The sequence below is a fragment of the Homo sapiens genome, chromosome 12, assembly GCF_000001405.40.
Source record: "Homo sapiens chromosome 12, GRCh38.p14 Primary Assembly".
Taxonomy (NCBI): domain Eukaryota; kingdom Metazoa; phylum Chordata; class Mammalia; order Primates; family Hominidae; genus Homo; species Homo sapiens.
In genome coordinates this window covers 6,522,409-6,538,721 of record NC_000012.12, presented here as the reverse complement: position 1 = coordinate 6,538,721, position 16,313 = coordinate 6,522,409, and the positions used below count along the sequence as shown (strand labels likewise).

The 16,313-nt window shown below is 53.8% G+C and overlaps 2 protein-coding genes and 1 long non-coding RNA gene across 8 annotated transcripts in view, besides 8 other annotated features; 1 reads left to right on the top strand and 2 right to left on the bottom strand.

The window, feature by feature from the left end:
- GAPDH (glyceraldehyde-3-phosphate dehydrogenase) lies at positions 351-4,205 on the bottom strand. Of its 6 annotated transcripts, none has more exons than NM_001289745.3 (9): positions 4,061-4,205; positions 3,861-3,912; positions 2,129-2,228; positions 1,932-2,038; positions 1,712-1,802; positions 1,506-1,621; positions 1,332-1,413; positions 726-1,138; positions 351-621 (listed from the first exon to the last, which is right to left on the bottom strand). In NM_001289745.3, exons 2-9 carry the CDS (start codon positions 3,887-3,889, stop codon positions 552-554), a joined length of 1,008 nt encoding a protein of 335 aa, NP_001276674.1. In that variant the 5' UTR covers positions 3,890-3,912; positions 4,061-4,205; the 3' UTR covers positions 351-551. The 6 variants fall into 6 exon arrangements, 5 of the variants coding, with proteins under 5 accessions (NP_001276674.1, NP_002037.2, NP_001344872.1 ...); NM_002046.7 differs by having other exon boundaries at positions 4,153-4,205; NM_001357943.2 differs by having other exon boundaries at positions 1,932-1,984; positions 4,153-4,205.
- Positions 1,330-2,103: an enhancer, noted in NCBI's record as "H3K27ac-H3K4me1 hESC enhancer chr12:6645785-6646558 (GRCh37/hg19 assembly coordinates)". NCBI's record gives its function as "activates a minimal SCP1, AML or CMV promoter by ChIP-STARR-seq in naive H9 embryonic stem cells {active_cell/tissue: H9 hESC(naive)}" and the evidence as "EXISTENCE:reporter gene assay evidence [ECO:0000049][PMID:30033119]".
- Positions 3,652-4,425: an enhancer, noted in NCBI's record as "NANOG-H3K27ac-H3K4me1 hESC enhancer chr12:6643463-6644236 (GRCh37/hg19 assembly coordinates)". NCBI's record gives its function as "activates a minimal SCP1, AML or CMV promoter by ChIP-STARR-seq in primed H9 embryonic stem cells {active_cell/tissue: H9 hESC(primed)}" and the evidence as "EXISTENCE:reporter gene assay evidence [ECO:0000049][PMID:30033119]".
- Positions 3,914-4,053: a silencer, noted in NCBI's record as "silent region_4168". NCBI's record gives its function as "represses an Ori minimal core promoter by ATAC-STARR-seq in GM12878 lymphoblastoid cells {active_cell/tissue: GM12878}" and the evidence as "EXISTENCE:reporter gene assay evidence [ECO:0000049][PMID:35858748]".
- Positions 4,315-6,806, top strand: GAPDH-DT (GAPDH divergent transcript). Its single transcript, XR_002957397.2, has 2 exons — positions 4,315-5,258; positions 5,579-6,806. It is a non-coding gene; the product is annotated as a GAPDH divergent transcript (long non-coding RNA).
- Positions 4,426-5,199: an enhancer, noted in NCBI's record as "NANOG-H3K27ac-H3K4me1 hESC enhancer chr12:6642689-6643462 (GRCh37/hg19 assembly coordinates)". NCBI's record gives its function as "activates a minimal SCP1, AML or CMV promoter by ChIP-STARR-seq in naive and primed H9 embryonic stem cells {active_cell/tissue: H9 hESC(naive and primed)}" and the evidence as "EXISTENCE:reporter gene assay evidence [ECO:0000049][PMID:30033119]".
- Positions 4,774-5,023: a silencer, noted in NCBI's record as "silent region_4167". NCBI's record gives its function as "represses an Ori minimal core promoter by ATAC-STARR-seq in GM12878 lymphoblastoid cells {active_cell/tissue: GM12878}" and the evidence as "EXISTENCE:reporter gene assay evidence [ECO:0000049][PMID:35858748]".
- Positions 5,200-5,973: an enhancer, noted in NCBI's record as "NANOG-H3K27ac-H3K4me1 hESC enhancer chr12:6641915-6642688 (GRCh37/hg19 assembly coordinates)". NCBI's record gives its function as "activates a minimal SCP1, AML or CMV promoter by ChIP-STARR-seq in primed H9 embryonic stem cells {active_cell/tissue: H9 hESC(primed)}" and the evidence as "EXISTENCE:reporter gene assay evidence [ECO:0000049][PMID:30033119]".
- Positions 5,200-6,063: a biological region, named in NCBI's record as "NANOG-H3K27ac-H3K4me1 hESC enhancer GRCh37_chr12:6641915-6642688".
- Positions 5,934-6,063: an enhancer, noted in NCBI's record as "active region_5863". NCBI's record gives its function as "activates an Ori minimal core promoter by ATAC-STARR-seq in GM12878 lymphoblastoid cells {active_cell/tissue: GM12878}" and the evidence as "EXISTENCE:reporter gene assay evidence [ECO:0000049][PMID:35858748]".
- Positions 6,767-16,313, bottom strand: part of NCAPD2 (non-SMC condensin I complex subunit D2) — a 37,854-nt gene continuing 28,307 nt past the window's right edge. Inside the window, exons 16-32 of the mRNA NM_014865.4 lie at positions 15,720-15,894; positions 15,376-15,460; positions 13,006-13,139; positions 12,522-12,654; positions 12,351-12,435; positions 12,107-12,274; positions 11,659-11,831; positions 10,834-10,945; positions 10,631-10,754; positions 10,394-10,549; positions 9,866-10,043; positions 9,683-9,777; positions 9,129-9,209; positions 8,764-8,947; positions 7,905-8,031; positions 7,646-7,801; positions 6,767-7,395 (exon numbers count right to left, since the gene is read on the bottom strand). Of these exons, the coding sequence (NP_055680.3) occupies positions 7,310-7,395; positions 7,646-7,801; positions 7,905-8,031; positions 8,764-8,947; positions 9,129-9,209; positions 9,683-9,777; positions 9,866-10,043; positions 10,394-10,549; positions 10,631-10,754; positions 10,834-10,945; positions 11,659-11,831; positions 12,107-12,274; positions 12,351-12,435; positions 12,522-12,654; positions 13,006-13,139; positions 15,376-15,460; positions 15,720-15,894 (2,252 nt within the window). The 3' untranslated portion in view covers positions 6,767-7,309. The remainder of the gene's footprint in view (positions 7,396-7,645; positions 7,802-7,904; positions 8,032-8,763; positions 8,948-9,128; positions 9,210-9,682; positions 9,778-9,865; positions 10,044-10,393; positions 10,550-10,630; positions 10,755-10,833; positions 10,946-11,658; positions 11,832-12,106; positions 12,275-12,350; positions 12,436-12,521; positions 12,655-13,005; positions 13,140-15,375; positions 15,461-15,719; positions 15,895-16,313) is intronic.

Genomic DNA, 16,313 nt, shown 5'->3' with positions numbered 1-16,313 from the left:
GTCAGCGTCAGAGCCCAGTGCGAGCCCTGACTTCCTCCACCTGTCAGCCTCCCTGGGGCTGCCCACAGAATAGCTTCTTCCATGTTTGGCCAACAGCAGATAGCCTAGGACTGGAGCGAGGAGAGGAAAAGGCCTTGTTCTCTGAAGTAGTGGTGCCAGCTTCCTGTAGCACTCAAGACGTCTGAGCGGGAAGCAAATGGTTCTCGAAGCAAGCAAGGCTGTTTGGAGGCCCTACCCTCAGTCTGAGGAGAACATACCAGGTCCCTCCCCAGCAAGAATGTCTCACCTTGACACAAGCCCAGCTTCCCTCCCCTCTGCCCCAGACCCTAGAATAAGACAGGACAAGTAACTGGTTGAGCACAGGGTACTTTATTGATGGTACATGACAAGGTGCGGCTCCCTAGGCCCCTCCCCTCTTCAAGGGGTCTACATGGCAACTGTGAGGAGGGGAGATTCAGTGTGGTGGGGGACTGAGTGTGGCAGGGACTCCCCAGCAGTGAGGGTCTCTCTCTTCCTCTTGTGCTCTTGCTGGGGCTGGTGGTCCAGGGGTCTTACTCCTTGGAGGCCATGTGGGCCATGAGGTCCACCACCCTGTTGCTGTAGCCAAATTCGTTGTCATACCTAGAAGATGAAAAGAGTTGTCAGGGCCCTTTTTCTGAGCCAGCCACCAGAGGGCGCCAGACCCTGCACTTTTTAAGAGCCAGTCTCTGGCCCCAGCCACATACCAGGAAATGAGCTTGACAAAGTGGTCGTTGAGGGCAATGCCAGCCCCAGCGTCAAAGGTGGAGGAGTGGGTGTCGCTGTTGAAGTCAGAGGAGACCACCTGGTGCTCAGTGTAGCCCAGGATGCCCTTGAGGGGGCCCTCCGACGCCTGCTTCACCACCTTCTTGATGTCATCATATTTGGCAGGTTTTTCTAGACGGCAGGTCAGGTCCACCACTGACACGTTGGCAGTGGGGACACGGAAGGCCATGCCAGTGAGCTTCCCGTTCAGCTCAGGGATGACCTTGCCCACAGCCTTGGCAGCGCCAGTAGAGGCAGGGATGATGTTCTGGAGAGCCCCGCGGCCATCACGCCACAGTTTCCCGGAGGGGCCATCCACAGTCTTCTGGGTGGCAGTGATGGCATGGACTGTGGTCTGCAAAAGGAGTGAGGCCCTGCAGCGTACTCCCCACATCACCCCTCTACCTCCCTCCCCACCTTGAAAGGAAATTATGGGAAAGCCAGTCCCCAGAACCCCCAACCCCAGGGTTGCACGCAGCCCCGGCAGGGAGGAGCCAGTCTTGGATGAGAAAGGTGGGAGCCTCAGTCCCATTCCCCAGCTCTCATACCATGAGTCCTTCCACGATACCAAAGTTGTCATGGATGACCTTGGCCAGGGGTGCTAAGCAGTTGGTGGTGCAGGAGGCATTGCTGCAAAGAAAGAGGGAGCGGGGCGCAAGTCAGGGGAGCGTGTCCATAGGGTGCCAGGCTGGCCGCTTCTCCACGGGCCCTGCCTTCCTCACCTGATGATCTTGAGGCTGTTGTCATACTTCTCATGGTTCACACCCATGACGAACATGGGGGCATCAGCAGAGGGGGCAGAGATGATGACCCTTTTGGCTCCCCCCTGCAAATGAGCCTACAGCAGAGAAGCAGACAGTTATGAACCCGGGTCCTGCCTTTGCAGGGCTGAGTCAGCTTCCCCTCCCGCGGGCCCTCCTGCACTCACCCCAGCCTTCTCCATGGTGGTGAAGACGCCAGTGGACTCCACGACGTACTCAGCGCCAGCATCGCCCCACTTGATTTTGGAGGGATCTCGCCTATGGGGGTGGGGGGGAGATGGGGACAGGACCATATTGAGGGACACAAGGTTACCATATACCCAAGGGAGCCACACCATCCTAGTTGCCTCCCCAAAGCACATTTCTTCCATTCTGTCTTCCACTCACTCCTGGAAGATGGTGATGGGATTTCCATTGATGACAAGCTTCCCGTTCTCAGCCTTGACGGTGCCATGGAATTTGCCATGGGTGGAATCATATTGGAACATGTAAACCTGGGGGAATACGTGAGGGTATGAAGGGGCTGCCCATCAGCCAGGTGGCTCCTCCCACACCAGCTTTGGGGCTCACCATGTAGCACTCACCATGTAGTTGAGGTCAATGAAGGGGTCATTGATGGCAACAATATCCACTTTACCAGAGTTAAAAGCAGCCCTGGTGACCAGGCGCCCAATACGACCAAATCTAAGAGACAAGAGGCAAGAAGGCATGAGGAGGGGAGGCTCCTCCAGAATATGTGAGCAGCCCTAGGCCACCTCCCCATTAAGAGGGCGAATGCAGCATCTCCTTACCCCCAGGAGGGCCCAAGAGGTTGAATTTTATCTCCCTTGAGCTTCCCTGCCAGGCTGGCCTGGCTTAAGGCATGGCTGCAACTGAAGGCTCCAGGGCTGCCCAACACCCCCAGTCATACGAAGCCCTTCCAGGAGAAGCGGCCATGTGGGGCACTGCCACCCACAGTCTGGGCACAAGCTTTGTACATGGTATTCACCACCCCACTATGCCACCCCAGGAATGCTTGCTGCTGCCTAGCTCAGCTGCACCCTTTAGGGAGAAAACGCTTGTACACTCAGCATCATCAAACTCAAAGGGCAGGAGTAAAGGTCAGAAATTAACTGGACAGGGCAAGCCCACCCCTTCTCTAAGTCCCTCCTACAAAAGGGACAGAGACTGGGGCGGGTGGGAAGAGGGGAAGCTGTATTTTAACCCCCTAGTCCCAGGGCTTTGATTTGCCAAGTTGCCTGTCCTTCCTAGCTCTTTTCCAGAAATCAGGAGTGGGAGCACAGGTAAGTGCATGTGTGTGGGGAGAAGGGATGGGAGAGAGCCCCAGCCCAGGCCCCCAGCTACAGAAAGGTCAGCAGCTATATTTAACCTCAGACCAGGGTGCGGTGGGAGATCTGGTTTCCGGAAGACGGAATGGGGAGAAGGGCAGGTTCCCCGAGGCGCCCAGACACCCAATCCTCCCGGTGACATTTACAGCCTGGCCTTTGGGGTCGGGTCAACGCTAGGCTGGCAGGGGAAGGGCGGGGCCGTGAGGTGAGCCGGCGCTGCAGGAAGGGGCCACCACCAGAGGGGCCATTTTGCGGTGGAAATGTCCTTTTCCAACTACCCATGACTCAGCTTCTCCCGGCTTGGCACCATGCCACAGCCACCACACCTCTGCGGGGAGGGGACACAAGAGGACCTCCATAAACCCACTTCTTTGATTTACCAGAGAATAATCTAGGAAAAGCATCACCCGGAGGAGAAATCGGGCCAGCTAGCCTCGCTCCACCTGACTTCCCCGCCACACGCGACTCCACCCATCGAGGCAGGAGCGCAGGGTTAGTCACCGGCAGGCTTTCCTAACGGCTGCCCATTCATTTCCTTCCCGGTTGCAACATGGCGGCCGCTCTACCGCAGGCGCAGCATCCGGACAGGGATGCACCCGCTGCGCACTAGCATCCCGGGGCCTGCGGTGCCGGAGGCCGTGGGGGAGGGGCTCCTCTGCGACACGTGACCCCGCAGAGCGCGAAAGGAAAGAAAGCGTCCCCCACCTAGGGGTCCGGGTCGGGATCTCGGGCGGGAGTAGGGACCTCCTGTTTCTGGGGACTAGGGGAAGGAGGCTCCGGGCAGATGGCGCCGCAAGGGCGGAGCTGCACAGGGCGCCACAGCCTGGGTGCGGGGCTCCGCCAGGTCCGAGCGCTGACCTTGAGCTCTCCTTGCGGGGAACAGCTACCCTGCCCCCATACGACTGCAAAGACCCGGAGCCCGCAAGGCTCGTAGACGCGGTTCGGGGGCGGTCGCAGCCCAGGGCCCCCCAGCCACCCGCGAACTCACCCGTTGACTCCGACCTTCACCTTCCCCATGGTGTCTGAGCGATGTGGCTCGGCTGCGCGGAGGGAGAGAACAGTGAGCGCCTAGTGGCCCCGGCCGACACACACGCCTCCCCTCCCCTCCCCCACCAGGCCTCCATGCCCAGCCCGCGCCGCATCACGTCCTCCGCCCGCCCCTGCAATGCGGAGGCCGCCCGGGCCCACCCCGCAGCGGCGCGAACACATCCGGCCTGCGCCCGCCCCTGCCGCCTTCAGGCCGTCCCTAGCCTCCCGGGTTTCTCTCCGCCCGTCTTCACCTGGCGACGCAAAAGAAGATGCGGCTGACTGTCGAACAGGAGGAGCAGAGAGCGAAGCGGGAGGCTGCGGGCTCAATTTATAGAAACCGGGGGCGCGGCGGCAGGCGGTGACTCGGACCCCGCCTCCCGCCAGGCTCAGCCAGTCCCAGCCCAAGGTCTTGAGGCCTGAGCTACGTGCGCCCGTAAAACCGCTAGTAGCCGGGCCCTACTTTCTCCCCGCTTTTTTTTTTCCGCAGCCGCCTGGTTCAACTGGGCACGCACCGAGCGTGTGGGCCCCGACGTAGGGGGGAAGGGACTGAGATTGGCCCGATGGGAGGTGATCGGTGCTGGTTCCCAGGACTGGACTGTGGGCAGCAGGACACTAGGGAGTCAAGGACGGGGACCCTTACACGCTTGGATGAAACAGGAGGACTTTGGGAACGACTGAGATGGGGAATTGGAGCCGGAGCCCAGCACCGCTCGCGGCTGCACGCGGCCTGCCCCCTCCCCTTTCTTTCTTTCAAAGGCTGAGAGGCGGGAAAGTTGGGGAACTTCTCCTCGAGGCTCTGCGGTAGTGACACCGGACTGCTCAGGCAAAGGCCTAGGAGGGGCCCATGGGCCTCGGGCGGGGGCCCGTGGTTCCTTCCCAGCCCCCACTTCCCCCTCCCCATCTCCTGGCTCCTGGCATCTCTGGGACCGAGGCCTGGGCTGGGCACTGGGCACTGGGCACTGGGGGCCTGGAGAGGAAGGAGGCTCGGGAGGCGGCTTGAGGGGGAGGGGGAGGTTTCTGCACGGAAGGTCACGATGTCCTGCAGCCCTGTAGCCTGGACCTGATAATTAGGGCAGACAATCCCGGCCCTGTGTGCACCAGCGGCTCTCTCCGGGCTGGGGCCCCAGGCGGAGGACAGGATGGCTGGTGGGGGCCCAGAGGCCTCCCACAAAGGCACTCCTGGAAACCTGTGGGCTGTGCTGCCTAGGGAGAGAGACAGTGTGCCTTTCATTCCATCCAGCCTGGGGCGAAGAGCGGGACGTGAGGGCGGAAGTCCCTCCCCGCCCTGGGACGTGCAGGCGAGCCAGGAGCCAGGGACTCCCTTTCACTGGCTGCGCCGGGGGATATTGAGGGCAGGGTGAGTCAAGAAGAGGGAAAAAGTGGGAAAAGAGGTCTTGGGCACACGGTGGGAACAGGTCCCCTGCCCCCTCCCACAGGGGATCCATTCTTCTGGTAGGAGGGCAGAGGGCCAGGTTTGTGAGTGTGGGATGGGAGGGTGCTGAACACTTGTAAGGAAGGGGGTGGGGTGGGGTGGCCTTGGCCCATCAGCAGGTGCATGGGAGGGGGATCCCGGGCCTCTTTGCTGGCCCAGCATAACCTGACACCAGCCCCCTGCCCTTCTAGCTAAAAGCCGGTTGCTAAGTTTAGCCTGCCTGGTGATAATCTTTGCTTAAAAAGCACCCACAGGACTCCAGTCCCTGACCCTGCCTTTCTGGGATTGCCTTTCCTGCTGGGACCCAGAGCCAGGCTGTGTCCTCGTCTGGCTGCCACTGGCATGGTTGGTGCGGGCTTTTCACAATGACCACCCAGAGCAGAGTAGCAAGAGCAAGGCAAGAAGGTCCCTAATGGTGAAAGGGGTGGGGTGGGGGAGTGGAGGAAGCCCCACCTCTGACTCAGCTATTCCTGCAACCAGGACCGTTAACCCTTTCTCATTGAGAGCATTAAGAGCACCTCCATGCTCCTGCACCACCCAAGCGTGATCTTCCCCTCTGCCTCATGCTTGTCATTTTTCATTACTGTCTTCTCCCCGCAAAGAGGGAGCTCAGTGCCCAGGGAGCACTACTGACGTAGTGTGCTGTTGTCATGACAGCAGAGGCACCAGTGTGGTCACGACAGCCAGCTCACAGCCTCCGGTTCGAAGGTGACTCAGCAGAGAAGACTTGAGGAGCTGGAGAGGGGTGCGCAGGCTTCAGGGGGCAGCCCGCCTGCAGCATAGCTCACGCCCTCTGCAGACCCGGGAACAATGAGGAATGCTGGGAGACAGGTCTTGTCTCCTGCAGAGCTGGAGGGGATCATGATCTGAACTTCCACGAGCCTGGGCCGGTCTGCTGCCAACCTTTGGAGATGGGATTAGGGAACACGAGTGGGGGTGGGGTGAGGCACACGGCAGAAAGCAACCCTTGGTCTAGAGCAGGTTTTCTCAACTGTGACGCTATTGACATTGTGGGCCGTGTGATTCTTTGTTGAGGGGCCATCCTGTGCACTGCAGGATGTTGAGCCACATCCCTGGCCTCTTCCCACAAATGCTGGTAGCATTCTTCCCCTATAGGCTATGACAACAAAACAGGCCCCAGGTGTTGTCAGATGTCCTCTGGCAGACAAAATTGCCCCCGGTTCAGAAGCACTGATCTGGAGCCTAGGCACTGCATAATTCTCCCCAGAGAGGCTGTCTGGTCACTGTGCAGGGTCCAGAGGTTGAGAGGGGAAAGGTGGCAGTGACGGGGCAGGAAGCTCATCTGCCATCCCGGGACAGGCCCTAGGACTCTGGGCTCACTCATCTCTCTCTGCACTGATAACCCTCTCTCTGCTGCATGAAACTGGGCTAATGTGAAAGATGAAACAAAGACAAGCTTAGGAAAAAATGTCTAAAAGTATATAAAAACATTTATTCATTAGAAAACAAGGAGATTGGCAAACATATATTCCAAAGTTGAAGCAGCTCAACGCAGTTCAGTTAGGCTAATTTAAGAGAAAGCCTTGCATTTTAAAGAGCGTGTAGGCATTTTTTTTTTAATTTGAGATGGAGGTTCGCTATTGTTGCCCAAGCTGGAGTGCAATGGTGTGATTTCGGCTCACTACAACCTCCGCCTCTGGGTTCAGGCGATTCTCCTGCCTCAGCCTCTTGAGTAGCTGGGATTACAGGCGCACGCCAATACGCCCGGCTAATTTTTTATTTTTAGTAGAGATGGGGTTTCTCCATGTTGGTCAGGCTGGTCTCGAACTCCCTACCTCAGGTTATCCACCCGCCTTGGTATCGCAAAGTGCTGGGATTACAGGCGTGAGCCACAGTGCCCGGCCTTTTTTTTTTTTAAAAAAAAGAGACAGACAAATATTTTACAAGGGAAACAGAATTCGAATTCCAGGTCACCCTACAGGATACCCTGCACAGGGAGGACAGGAACAGACTTCCTAGGATCTGTGCCTGCGAGCCGATGCTCTGAGAATGGGAGTTGTTTTCTTGGGTGTCTCGTCTTCTGTCATCTCTGCTGAAAGATCTATGCAAAGAATTAAAGGAATAAGAAAAAGCTGAGTCACAAAGATGGTGAAAAAATAGATATCAGAGAACAAGTGAGACAATCCCACACCGCACAGAAGAAATAAAATCCAAGCTGTACAGGAGAGGCCCTTCTGCGGCAGTGGGGCAGAGCATCTACACTCAGGCCCCCGCAGCAGGTCCTATGGAAACCAGCCCTCTGCACCCTAGCTGTGTGCCTTCTCGGCCGGGAACAGGCGGGAGCATCATACCTTCCTCACTGGACTCATCACTTGAGAAGACAACTTTGGGTTTCTTTTTGGAAGCTCGCTGCTGGGTGTTTGGATGCCGACGGGTAGTACGGCGGGGCTCTGGTGTGACAAAGTCATTGTCTGAGGCTGTAGAAGCCAGAGGCTGGTACCTAGAACCTAGAAAAGGCAGGAAAACGTGATTTAAAAAAGAAGAAGAAACAAATCACTGCAGGAGGGGAGGGCCCAGTCTGGTCTCGCCCGCACAGGCTGCCTTACGTACCAGTGGATGGTTTCTTGGCTGATGGCGCTCTCTGGCTACCTGCTTGGCCAATCTCAAGCTCCTTGATTCCATCCAAACCTCTGGTATGACAGGCCCGAAGCTTCTGCTCAAATTCATCTATTATAGCCTGGAGGGAGAAAAGGAGATTCAGAGCAGGCCTGAAAACAGTTACTTCTGATTAAAAAGAAACAAGGCCATGGAAGACATGGAGGCCTTAAACGCACATTACTAAGAAGCCAAGGTGAGAAGGCTCCATACCGGATCATTCCAATGATACATTCTGGAAAAGACAAAGTGATGGCAACAGTAAAAAGATCAGGGGTTGTGGGGAGAGAGGGATAAATAGGTGGAGTGCAGGGGATTTGTAAGGCAGTGAAACTCTTCTGTATGATACTGCAATGGTGGGTACATGTCATTACGTGCAGTGAACTCCAAGGTAAACCATGACTTTAGGAGATGATGTGTAAGTGTAGGTTCAGCTGTAACAAATGTGCCACCCTGGTGCAGGATGTTGAAGGTGGGGAAGGCTGTGATGTGTAGGGGCAAGGGGTAGAAGGGAACTCCCTGTACTTTCTGCTCAATTTTGCTTTGAACCTAAAACTGCTCTGAAAAATAAAAACTATTAAAAACAAACAAACAAGAATTGGATGAGATGCTGCTTTGGTTGTGTTTTTGGAGTAATAAAAAAAGAACTGGAGACAAAGATCTGGTCTTAGGTCACTCTGGCAATTTGGTTGCAACCCAGCTGGGGATAAGGAGGACGGGAAGGTGACTGCAAGAGCCGTATGCTGCCCAGGGCCGGCAGATGTCTTAGCCAGCCCAGAACCCAACAGGCATTGAAGTGTCCTGTGCTGCTCACCTTGCCCTCAGGCTTGGCCCCACGTCGCAGCTTGCCTACAACTGACAAAAAAGCACTGAAGATGGACTCATCTGACAGTTTGTCTCCAAAACAGTCAAAATTGTCAAGCATCTTACGGAGGCCTCGCTCTGTGAGGGGCAGCTGTGACACACAGTAGGCCAGGTCTCGCTGCTGCCGCTCAGTTCTGCAGATAGGAAGGGCTTTGTGAGGAACTGGGAGATCCAGCTAGTAAAGGCTCAACCTTCCCCATCAGCCTCCCCAGTCCCAGGGATGCCACAGTGGGGGCATTGAAGGGGTGAGGGATGGGCCTTTCTCCCCTGCAGGGCCCCGCTCAGCACAAAGAACCCTCAGGGAGGGCAGCATACCGGGATGTGCGGAACCGCTGACACAGCTTTTCCACCAGGCTCTCTGTCTGCTTGTCCTTGGTGATGTAGGAGAGGAGCTGTCTGCAGGAAGGGGAGATGAGGATGTTCGATGGCCCAGGGCCAGCTCTGCCATCCACTAAGACCAACCCTGGACCCTCCCCCAGCACTCGTCTTCTCTGATGTTCTCTGCCACGGCCCCTGTCTGCCTCACCACTCCCCTTGCCCTGTCCCATTCAGCAGAGAGGGACCCCACCCCGCCCCCGGCTCAGGAATTTTCACTGTGAATGGAAATTAACAGGAGCAGCTGCTAGGGAGTGAGTGCTACTGTATGTCTGCCACCATGTTAGGAACTTTATCGTATTTAATATTTTCAAGAACTAAGGGTTAAGTATCATCAGCCTCAAAAGAAGAGGAAATAGGCACAAAGAGAGGCTAAGTTATTGCCGAAGGCTGTACAGCTAAAGAGTAGCCGAGGTGGAATTCAAATACAGGTGTGTCTGATTCCTAAGCCCGTGCTATGTGGAAAATGTGCCCCAGGGCCCGGGGAGCAATACTTCATGATGGTGTGGAAAGGCTCTTCCTCCACCCCCAGCTCGGGGTCTGACAGGCGGCTGATGATATCTGGAAGGAGATTATAGATTGCGTTGCCCTGTAAGACAGAGAGAGCCATGTTAAGGAGATGAGGTGACCTACAGATTCCCTCTGCAGCCAGCCCTCAGTGCCTCTCTGCCTCTCACCTTGTGGGAGAGCTCATTGAAGAAGTTCTTGGCCAGGGCAGCAATCTGAGGCTCGGGGTCGATGAGCAGCACCGCCATCTCGCTGACCTGCCCCTTCACCTTCACCATGTCCTTGAGGATCAGGTGGGTCATCACCAGCCCCGCTGTTTTCCGCACTTGCTGAGCAGGGTCCCGGAGACTAGGAATGGAATTGCGGGTCATGGGGACCGAGACCTCCGGGCTACACCCTAACACTGGTAGAAAAGGCCCTCAGCAGGAATCAATTATCCCATGCTCTGCCACTCCAGAAGCAGTCAGAAAGCTGTCTAGAGTTGAAAGCTGGAGTGGGGGAAAGAGGTGAAGCTTCTAACCAGAAGTGTCAGTCCCACTGGGGTGACTCTTAGCCAGGGGCCTGTACAGGTCAAGTATCAAGCAGATGTTCGCGGTGATGCCAAAGCCTAGGGGAAGAGCCCTGGTGATTCTCACACTGACTCTCAACAGACTCCGGGGCTCCTGGGAACTGCCACCACGTTGTGAGGGGTCTCTTACCGAGCATACAGATGAGGAGTCCAGGGGTCCACCAGATTGGGAAAGCGGATGGCCAGATCCCCAGTGGCAACCATGAGGTTAGACCGGACAATGGGAAGTGGAGACTTTTCCAGCATGGTGAACAGAAGACGAAGCTGGGAGTCGCAGAAAGTGGCACTAAGAGCAAGAAGAGGATCATTAGGGAAGCCATTTCATCCCCATCTTCCTTGAGAAGGGGGTACCAACCCCACGGCCTACCTGATCATGCAGAACTTGCCAAGGGCAAGTGAAGCAGCTGCAGAGAGGTCTGGGTTGCTATAGAGGCCTGGGTTGTTACAGACTTTAAGCAAGAGTGGAACAAAGGCAGCCAGTGTCTGTTTGCCTGTTGGAAGAGTAACTGCAGGTTTGGGACAGGTTATCTTAATTGGGAAGAAACTGCTGAGTGCAGCCATTTTTCTTACCATCCAACAGTTCCATCTCGCAGATGCCACGGATTAGTTCTGCCTCTGTGTCATCTGCTGTTGCCCCAACCAGCCCCAGCTCCTCCTCCATGGTGGTCTCAGAGCTCGTATTCTAAAGGGAATGAAATTGGGGATCATGGATAAGCAGAGACAACATTTTTGATTCCAGCCCATACTTTGTTTTGCATGAACAAAGTGAGGAAGGGCAAATTCTACAAAAACATTTAGAGAATTGTCAAATGTGTCTGTAAAGAGAAAGGATTCCTGAATTAAGCAGGGGAACAATGAGGTCCCCATTTGTTTTAAGTTGCCAAAGCGTGTTTCTGCACCTCTTCCTCATGGAAGACATCGTTTCCTATATATGGTAAACAGATGGATCACGCCAGACAATGGTTCAAAGTCACAGAGGTCAGACTTTTCTCCAGCGCTGCAAGGCTCTGTGTCTTATTTGTCTGCAAGACATCATTGCCTCTAGTGGAGGGAACACAGGGCCCCATCCGGGGCCAGGCCAGCAATGGAAGCTGATGGAAAAGGCCGGCGGGTACGTGCGTGTTCTAACAAACCCTGCCTCAGACACAAAGCCTCTGTTTTATGCTGAGGTCTCTAACTCCACACTCTGCATTTACCTAAATCTTTCCTTCCTGGGTGATCACTGACAGTTTCGTCATTGTTCACACGAACCTTTCCTACGGTAGTAGCCACAGAGAGGCAGAAACTCTTCGCTTCATGTAATAGCAGAGGAGCAGAGATTGCCGGAAGGGGATCAGCTCAGTTCTGAGCTGAGGTATGAAATAAATCTGGGAAGTGCTGAGGACATTCACACACCTTCTCCTTGGGATCTTTGGTCTTGTGCTCCTGTTCTTCCCGGAGAACTCGGCGCCGGCAGAGCTCTCCACTCACTGCCTGCTCCAAGTGGACCAGCTGCTGCAGAGCCACATCCCCAGCCAGGGACAGCAGGTTCATCAACAGGAAAGTGGGGAGCATTGCGGGGGACTCCTCTGGAGGAGAGGGAGAGGGAAGGTGGGGCAAAGAGACATTTTTAAGTCCCATCAAACCTGAATCCGATTTTTACTGATCTTCCCCTTGCTCACGTGCTATTCAAACTAGTGAAGTAGTAAGAGTTGGGGGTGGGAACTGGCCCAACTTCAACTTAGACAAAAACGACACAGTGTACACTAAGGGTTGTTGCAGATAGTGGTGGTGGCAGTGGCTCCTGGCCCTGCAGGGAGAACAGAAGCTGGCTGCCGCAGTGGGTCAACCCCTGCCCACTTACTCGGGTCCTCCTGACTGGTTCTCTTCTCTTCTAGCTTCTCCAGGGCCTGTTTTGCACAGCCCTGCAATATCTGGGCACAGATCACTTCGGGGCCCTCTGCCAGTTGGTAAATGAGGGTCACTGCCACCTCTTTGAATGGGATCCAGAGTGGGTCTGGGTGGACAAAGCCTGCAGAGGAGGAGGGAGAAGTTGTTTACTGCAACAAAGGGCCCAATTCTGCCCAAGGCCTTCCCTGAGAGCTCACCTTTTGTGACTGTCTCCCGCAGTCGCTCAAACAACCTGTGTTCCTGAGGCAGCCGGAAGGGGGGGTGACGTTTGCCCAGAGAAGGCTGTGGAGAGCAAGACAACGTGGGTGTGTGTACAGGGTGGACACGAGAATCTCCACTCTCCTTAGTTTGGAACCACCCCCACATACCTTTCTCCTGTCCGAGATGTTGGCAATGGCATGGCACACCTGCTGGGCCAGCCTGTAGTCCTGTGGAAACTTCTCATCCAGCCCTATGCTCACCAGTGTGTCTAAATTGCTTCCCACAATTTCTGGCTTTCCTCTAGGGGAAGGAAGCCACAGAGTTAAAGGCAGTCATGGATTGGACTCATCGGGGGAGAAAGGGCCAATAGGGGTAGGTACCAGCACCTCATGTGGTGTCTAGAGCCGTGGAGCACTATAGCGTGGCTCTGCCGCAGGGCCAGCCTCTTGGGTCCTGTTGCTTTACTGAATCCCACTACTACTAGGCAGGAGGGCTGGTCCTCTCACTATTTGCTTTTCCATTTAGGTGGCGTTATAACTCACAGCAGAGCTCAGTTGGGCCTCACTGTGACAATGTCACTGAAGGAAAAGGAGCCCTCTCAGAACCTTCCTTTGCTCTCCCACCCCATTGCCTGCTAGATTTGAGCCTCACCGTGCCATCATGCCAAGAAGCATGACAGAGGAACAGCGCTCCAGAGGACAGCAGGCGACCTTCTCGGTGGCCCGCTCCCACAGCAGCTGGGTCACTGCTGGTTTCAACTCATCCTTCTGCACAAACTCACAGAGCTAAAGAGAAAAGAAAAAGGGCTCAAGCCAAAAATGAACAATTCCTTGATCTTTGGTCTGCTTTTCTGAAGATGATATTGCGAACCTGAAGTAGACAAAAGTAATACTTAGGAAGAGAAAAAGAAAAGAGGAGGTTCAAAATGTACAGCAGGGTCTTGAGAGGCTTTCCATTCTCTACTTTTCTACTCTCATGCCTTCAAAACTATTTTATTCAAGTGACATATCGAAACTGACCTTTTGAGTTCCACGTGGGTCCATAGTTCTAAGTCTGGAGATTTCTAACAGGTTTTCTTGCCGTTACCACAAACTCAACATGTCCAACATGGAAGCCATCATCCTTCCTTGCCTTTTCATTTTGCCAGTGGTATCAACACTCTATCAGTAATATGTGCTTAAAATTTCGGTCATCTAATTTTTTTACAAATCAGTCACTATTTTTCCTTTAAAAATTTGTCTTCCATTAAGCCCATTCTGCAGTGATTTCTCCAATCCTCAAGTCCAGCCCCTCGTTACTGCCCACTGCAGCAGCCTCCACGGGCCTTCCTTCCCATGGGTTGGTCTCCTCAGCCTCTGCTTCCCCACGTCCCTTCTGTTGCACCCCAGTTTGCAGGTGCTCTCCCCTGCCTCTTGTAGGGCTTTTGCCGGTAACTGACCTATGACATCATGGCCAATCACCACCACCAGGCTCTTTTCTTTTCCCCAGTGAGGAGAAAAATGTGGCTGGCAGGAGCACGCTTCCCAGCGCCACCTCCACTCTCTGTGCCCGCAATGCAAATGCTACAAAGCAGAATGTCTCACTAAAATGCTGGGTGCCTGGCTAACACAGTTAAAGTCCTAGACTCCTGAAGTCATTCAGGGACTTCCACAGTTTAGTTCCAACCTACATTCACAACTTTATTATCTTTTCCAGATTTTTTTTTTTTTTTTTTTTTTTGAGACAGAGTCTCCCTCTGTCGCCCAGGCTGGAGTGCAGTGGCGCAATCTCGGCTCACTGCTACCTCCACCTCCTGGGTTCAAGCAACTGTCCTGCCTCAGCCTCCCAAGTAGCTGGGACTACAGGTGCCCACCACCACACCTGGCTAATTTTTTTGTATTTTTAGTAAAGGTGGGGTTTCGCCATGTTGACCAGGCTGGTCTCGAACTCCTGACCTCAGACCTCAGGTAATCTGCTGCCTTGGCCTCCCAAAGTGCTGGGATTACAGACGTGAGCCATCGCGCCTGGTCTTTTCCAGATAATTTGAACCAGAACACAGTCTTCTTTGTTCTACAATGTGAACTGTGCTCTTTCTTGGGTTCTGTTTGAAATGCCCTCCCTCCTTGCTCTGATTCTCTAAATCCTACTCATCTTTCAAGACCCAGCTTAAGTCCTACCACCTTCAGGAAGCTTCCTTGACCATTCTACCCCAAACCGCTCTCTTTCCTACTCTGTATCCCTCAGTAGAACACAGAAGTTAAGAGTATGTTTTCTAGAGCTCTTATTGCCTGAGTTTGAATCTCAAACTTTGCCACTAACTAGCTGTAACCAGCCAAGTTCAGTAACTTCTCTGTGCCTCAGATTTCTCATTGTAAAATGCAGATAATGCTACCTCACAGGGCTGTCGTGAGGATTAAACAAGTTACTGTGAGTAACGTGTGAGTGCCTGTCATATATTCAATACCATATAAGTGAGGTTGTTATTATTGCTATGACAACCATTACCCGTACAACTCATTCTGGCACTTTATTATCTACCTGCTGCATTGTTCTAAAAATGTTCTGTGGTTTTTCACTACCAACTAGACTGTTGGTTCCTTTAAAGTTGGGAACATGAAAGCAAATAGTCTTATACTTCTTTCTGGAGCTAAGTAAATTGCTAAATACATAGTAATAACTCAATAATACTTGTTGCCGGGCGCTTTGGCTCACGCCTGTAATCCCAGCACTCTGGGAGGTTGAGGCGGGTGGATCACGAGGTCAAGGGTTCGAGACCAGCTCGGCCAACATGGTGAAACCCCGTCTCTACTAAAGATACAAAAAACTAGTCGGGCATGGTGGCACATGCATGTAATTCCAGTTACTCGGGAGGCTGAGGCAGGAGAATTGCTTGAACCTGGGAGGCGGAGGTTGCAGTGAGCCAAGATTGTGCCATTGCACTCCAGCCTGGGCAATGGGGCATGACTCCGTCTCAAAAAAAAAAAAAAAAACAACCAAAATACTTGTTGAATGAATAAAGAAAGAGAAAGCAGGAAGCCTTACAATTTCCTCAAGACACTGAATGGTCCCAACCGAGGCATCCACTAGCAGCAGAGAGAGATTCTGAATCAAAGCCTGGGCCTTGGCTCTGTGGGAACAGCAGAGATCAGCGGTCACTATAAGATTGGGAAGCTGAACTTGGCAAACAGTGATTAGGGCTATCCCACCACAGTGCTACAAAACTGCTCTCCCTGGAAACCGAGCCCCACCCTAAGCCCCACTATGATGGACTGCCTATGGATCTGGAACTCCCCTGGAGAAATGCACCTCTTCCTTTAGGAGACAAGGGAAGTCCTGTGAGAAGCTGACCTTGGAAAAGTCAGCAAAGGCAAAAGCACCCCATATACCTGGCAGAGTCCCCTTTGGGGTTGAGGTAGAGTTGGCGGTAGGCATTAAGCACGGCTTCCCGGACACCAGGCTCCTTAGACCAGATGAGAGGCAGCATACGGCGCACCCCAAACAGGGCCTGGGGTACCCCAAATTGGAAGACCATCACAAAGAATTCAATCACCTCCTGCACCACTGAGAGAACATGTACAAATGTCACCTATCTACTTCACAAAACTCCCCCAATACCTAACGACAGAACCTTTCTGAATGTAGCAAGATGCAAATGGAGGCCTTCCGCATTTTCCCTGAGAATGTCGACTCCTCCTATGATGCCTTATCATGAAATACTATATGCATTAAAATGTATAAGCTGTAAGTGGCTAGAGGAAGCAAACAGAAAAAAAGAACCCCTGCCTTTTTTTTTTCTTTTCTTAAGACACAGGTTCTTATTCTGTTGCTCCGGCTAGAGTGCAGTGGCATGACCACAGCTCACTGTAGCCTCAAACTCCCGGGCTCAAGCAATCCTCCTGCCCAGCCTTCCGAGTAGCTGGAACTACAGGTGCGTGCCATCACGCCCAGTTAGTTTTTGTTTCTTTGTAGAGATGGGGTCT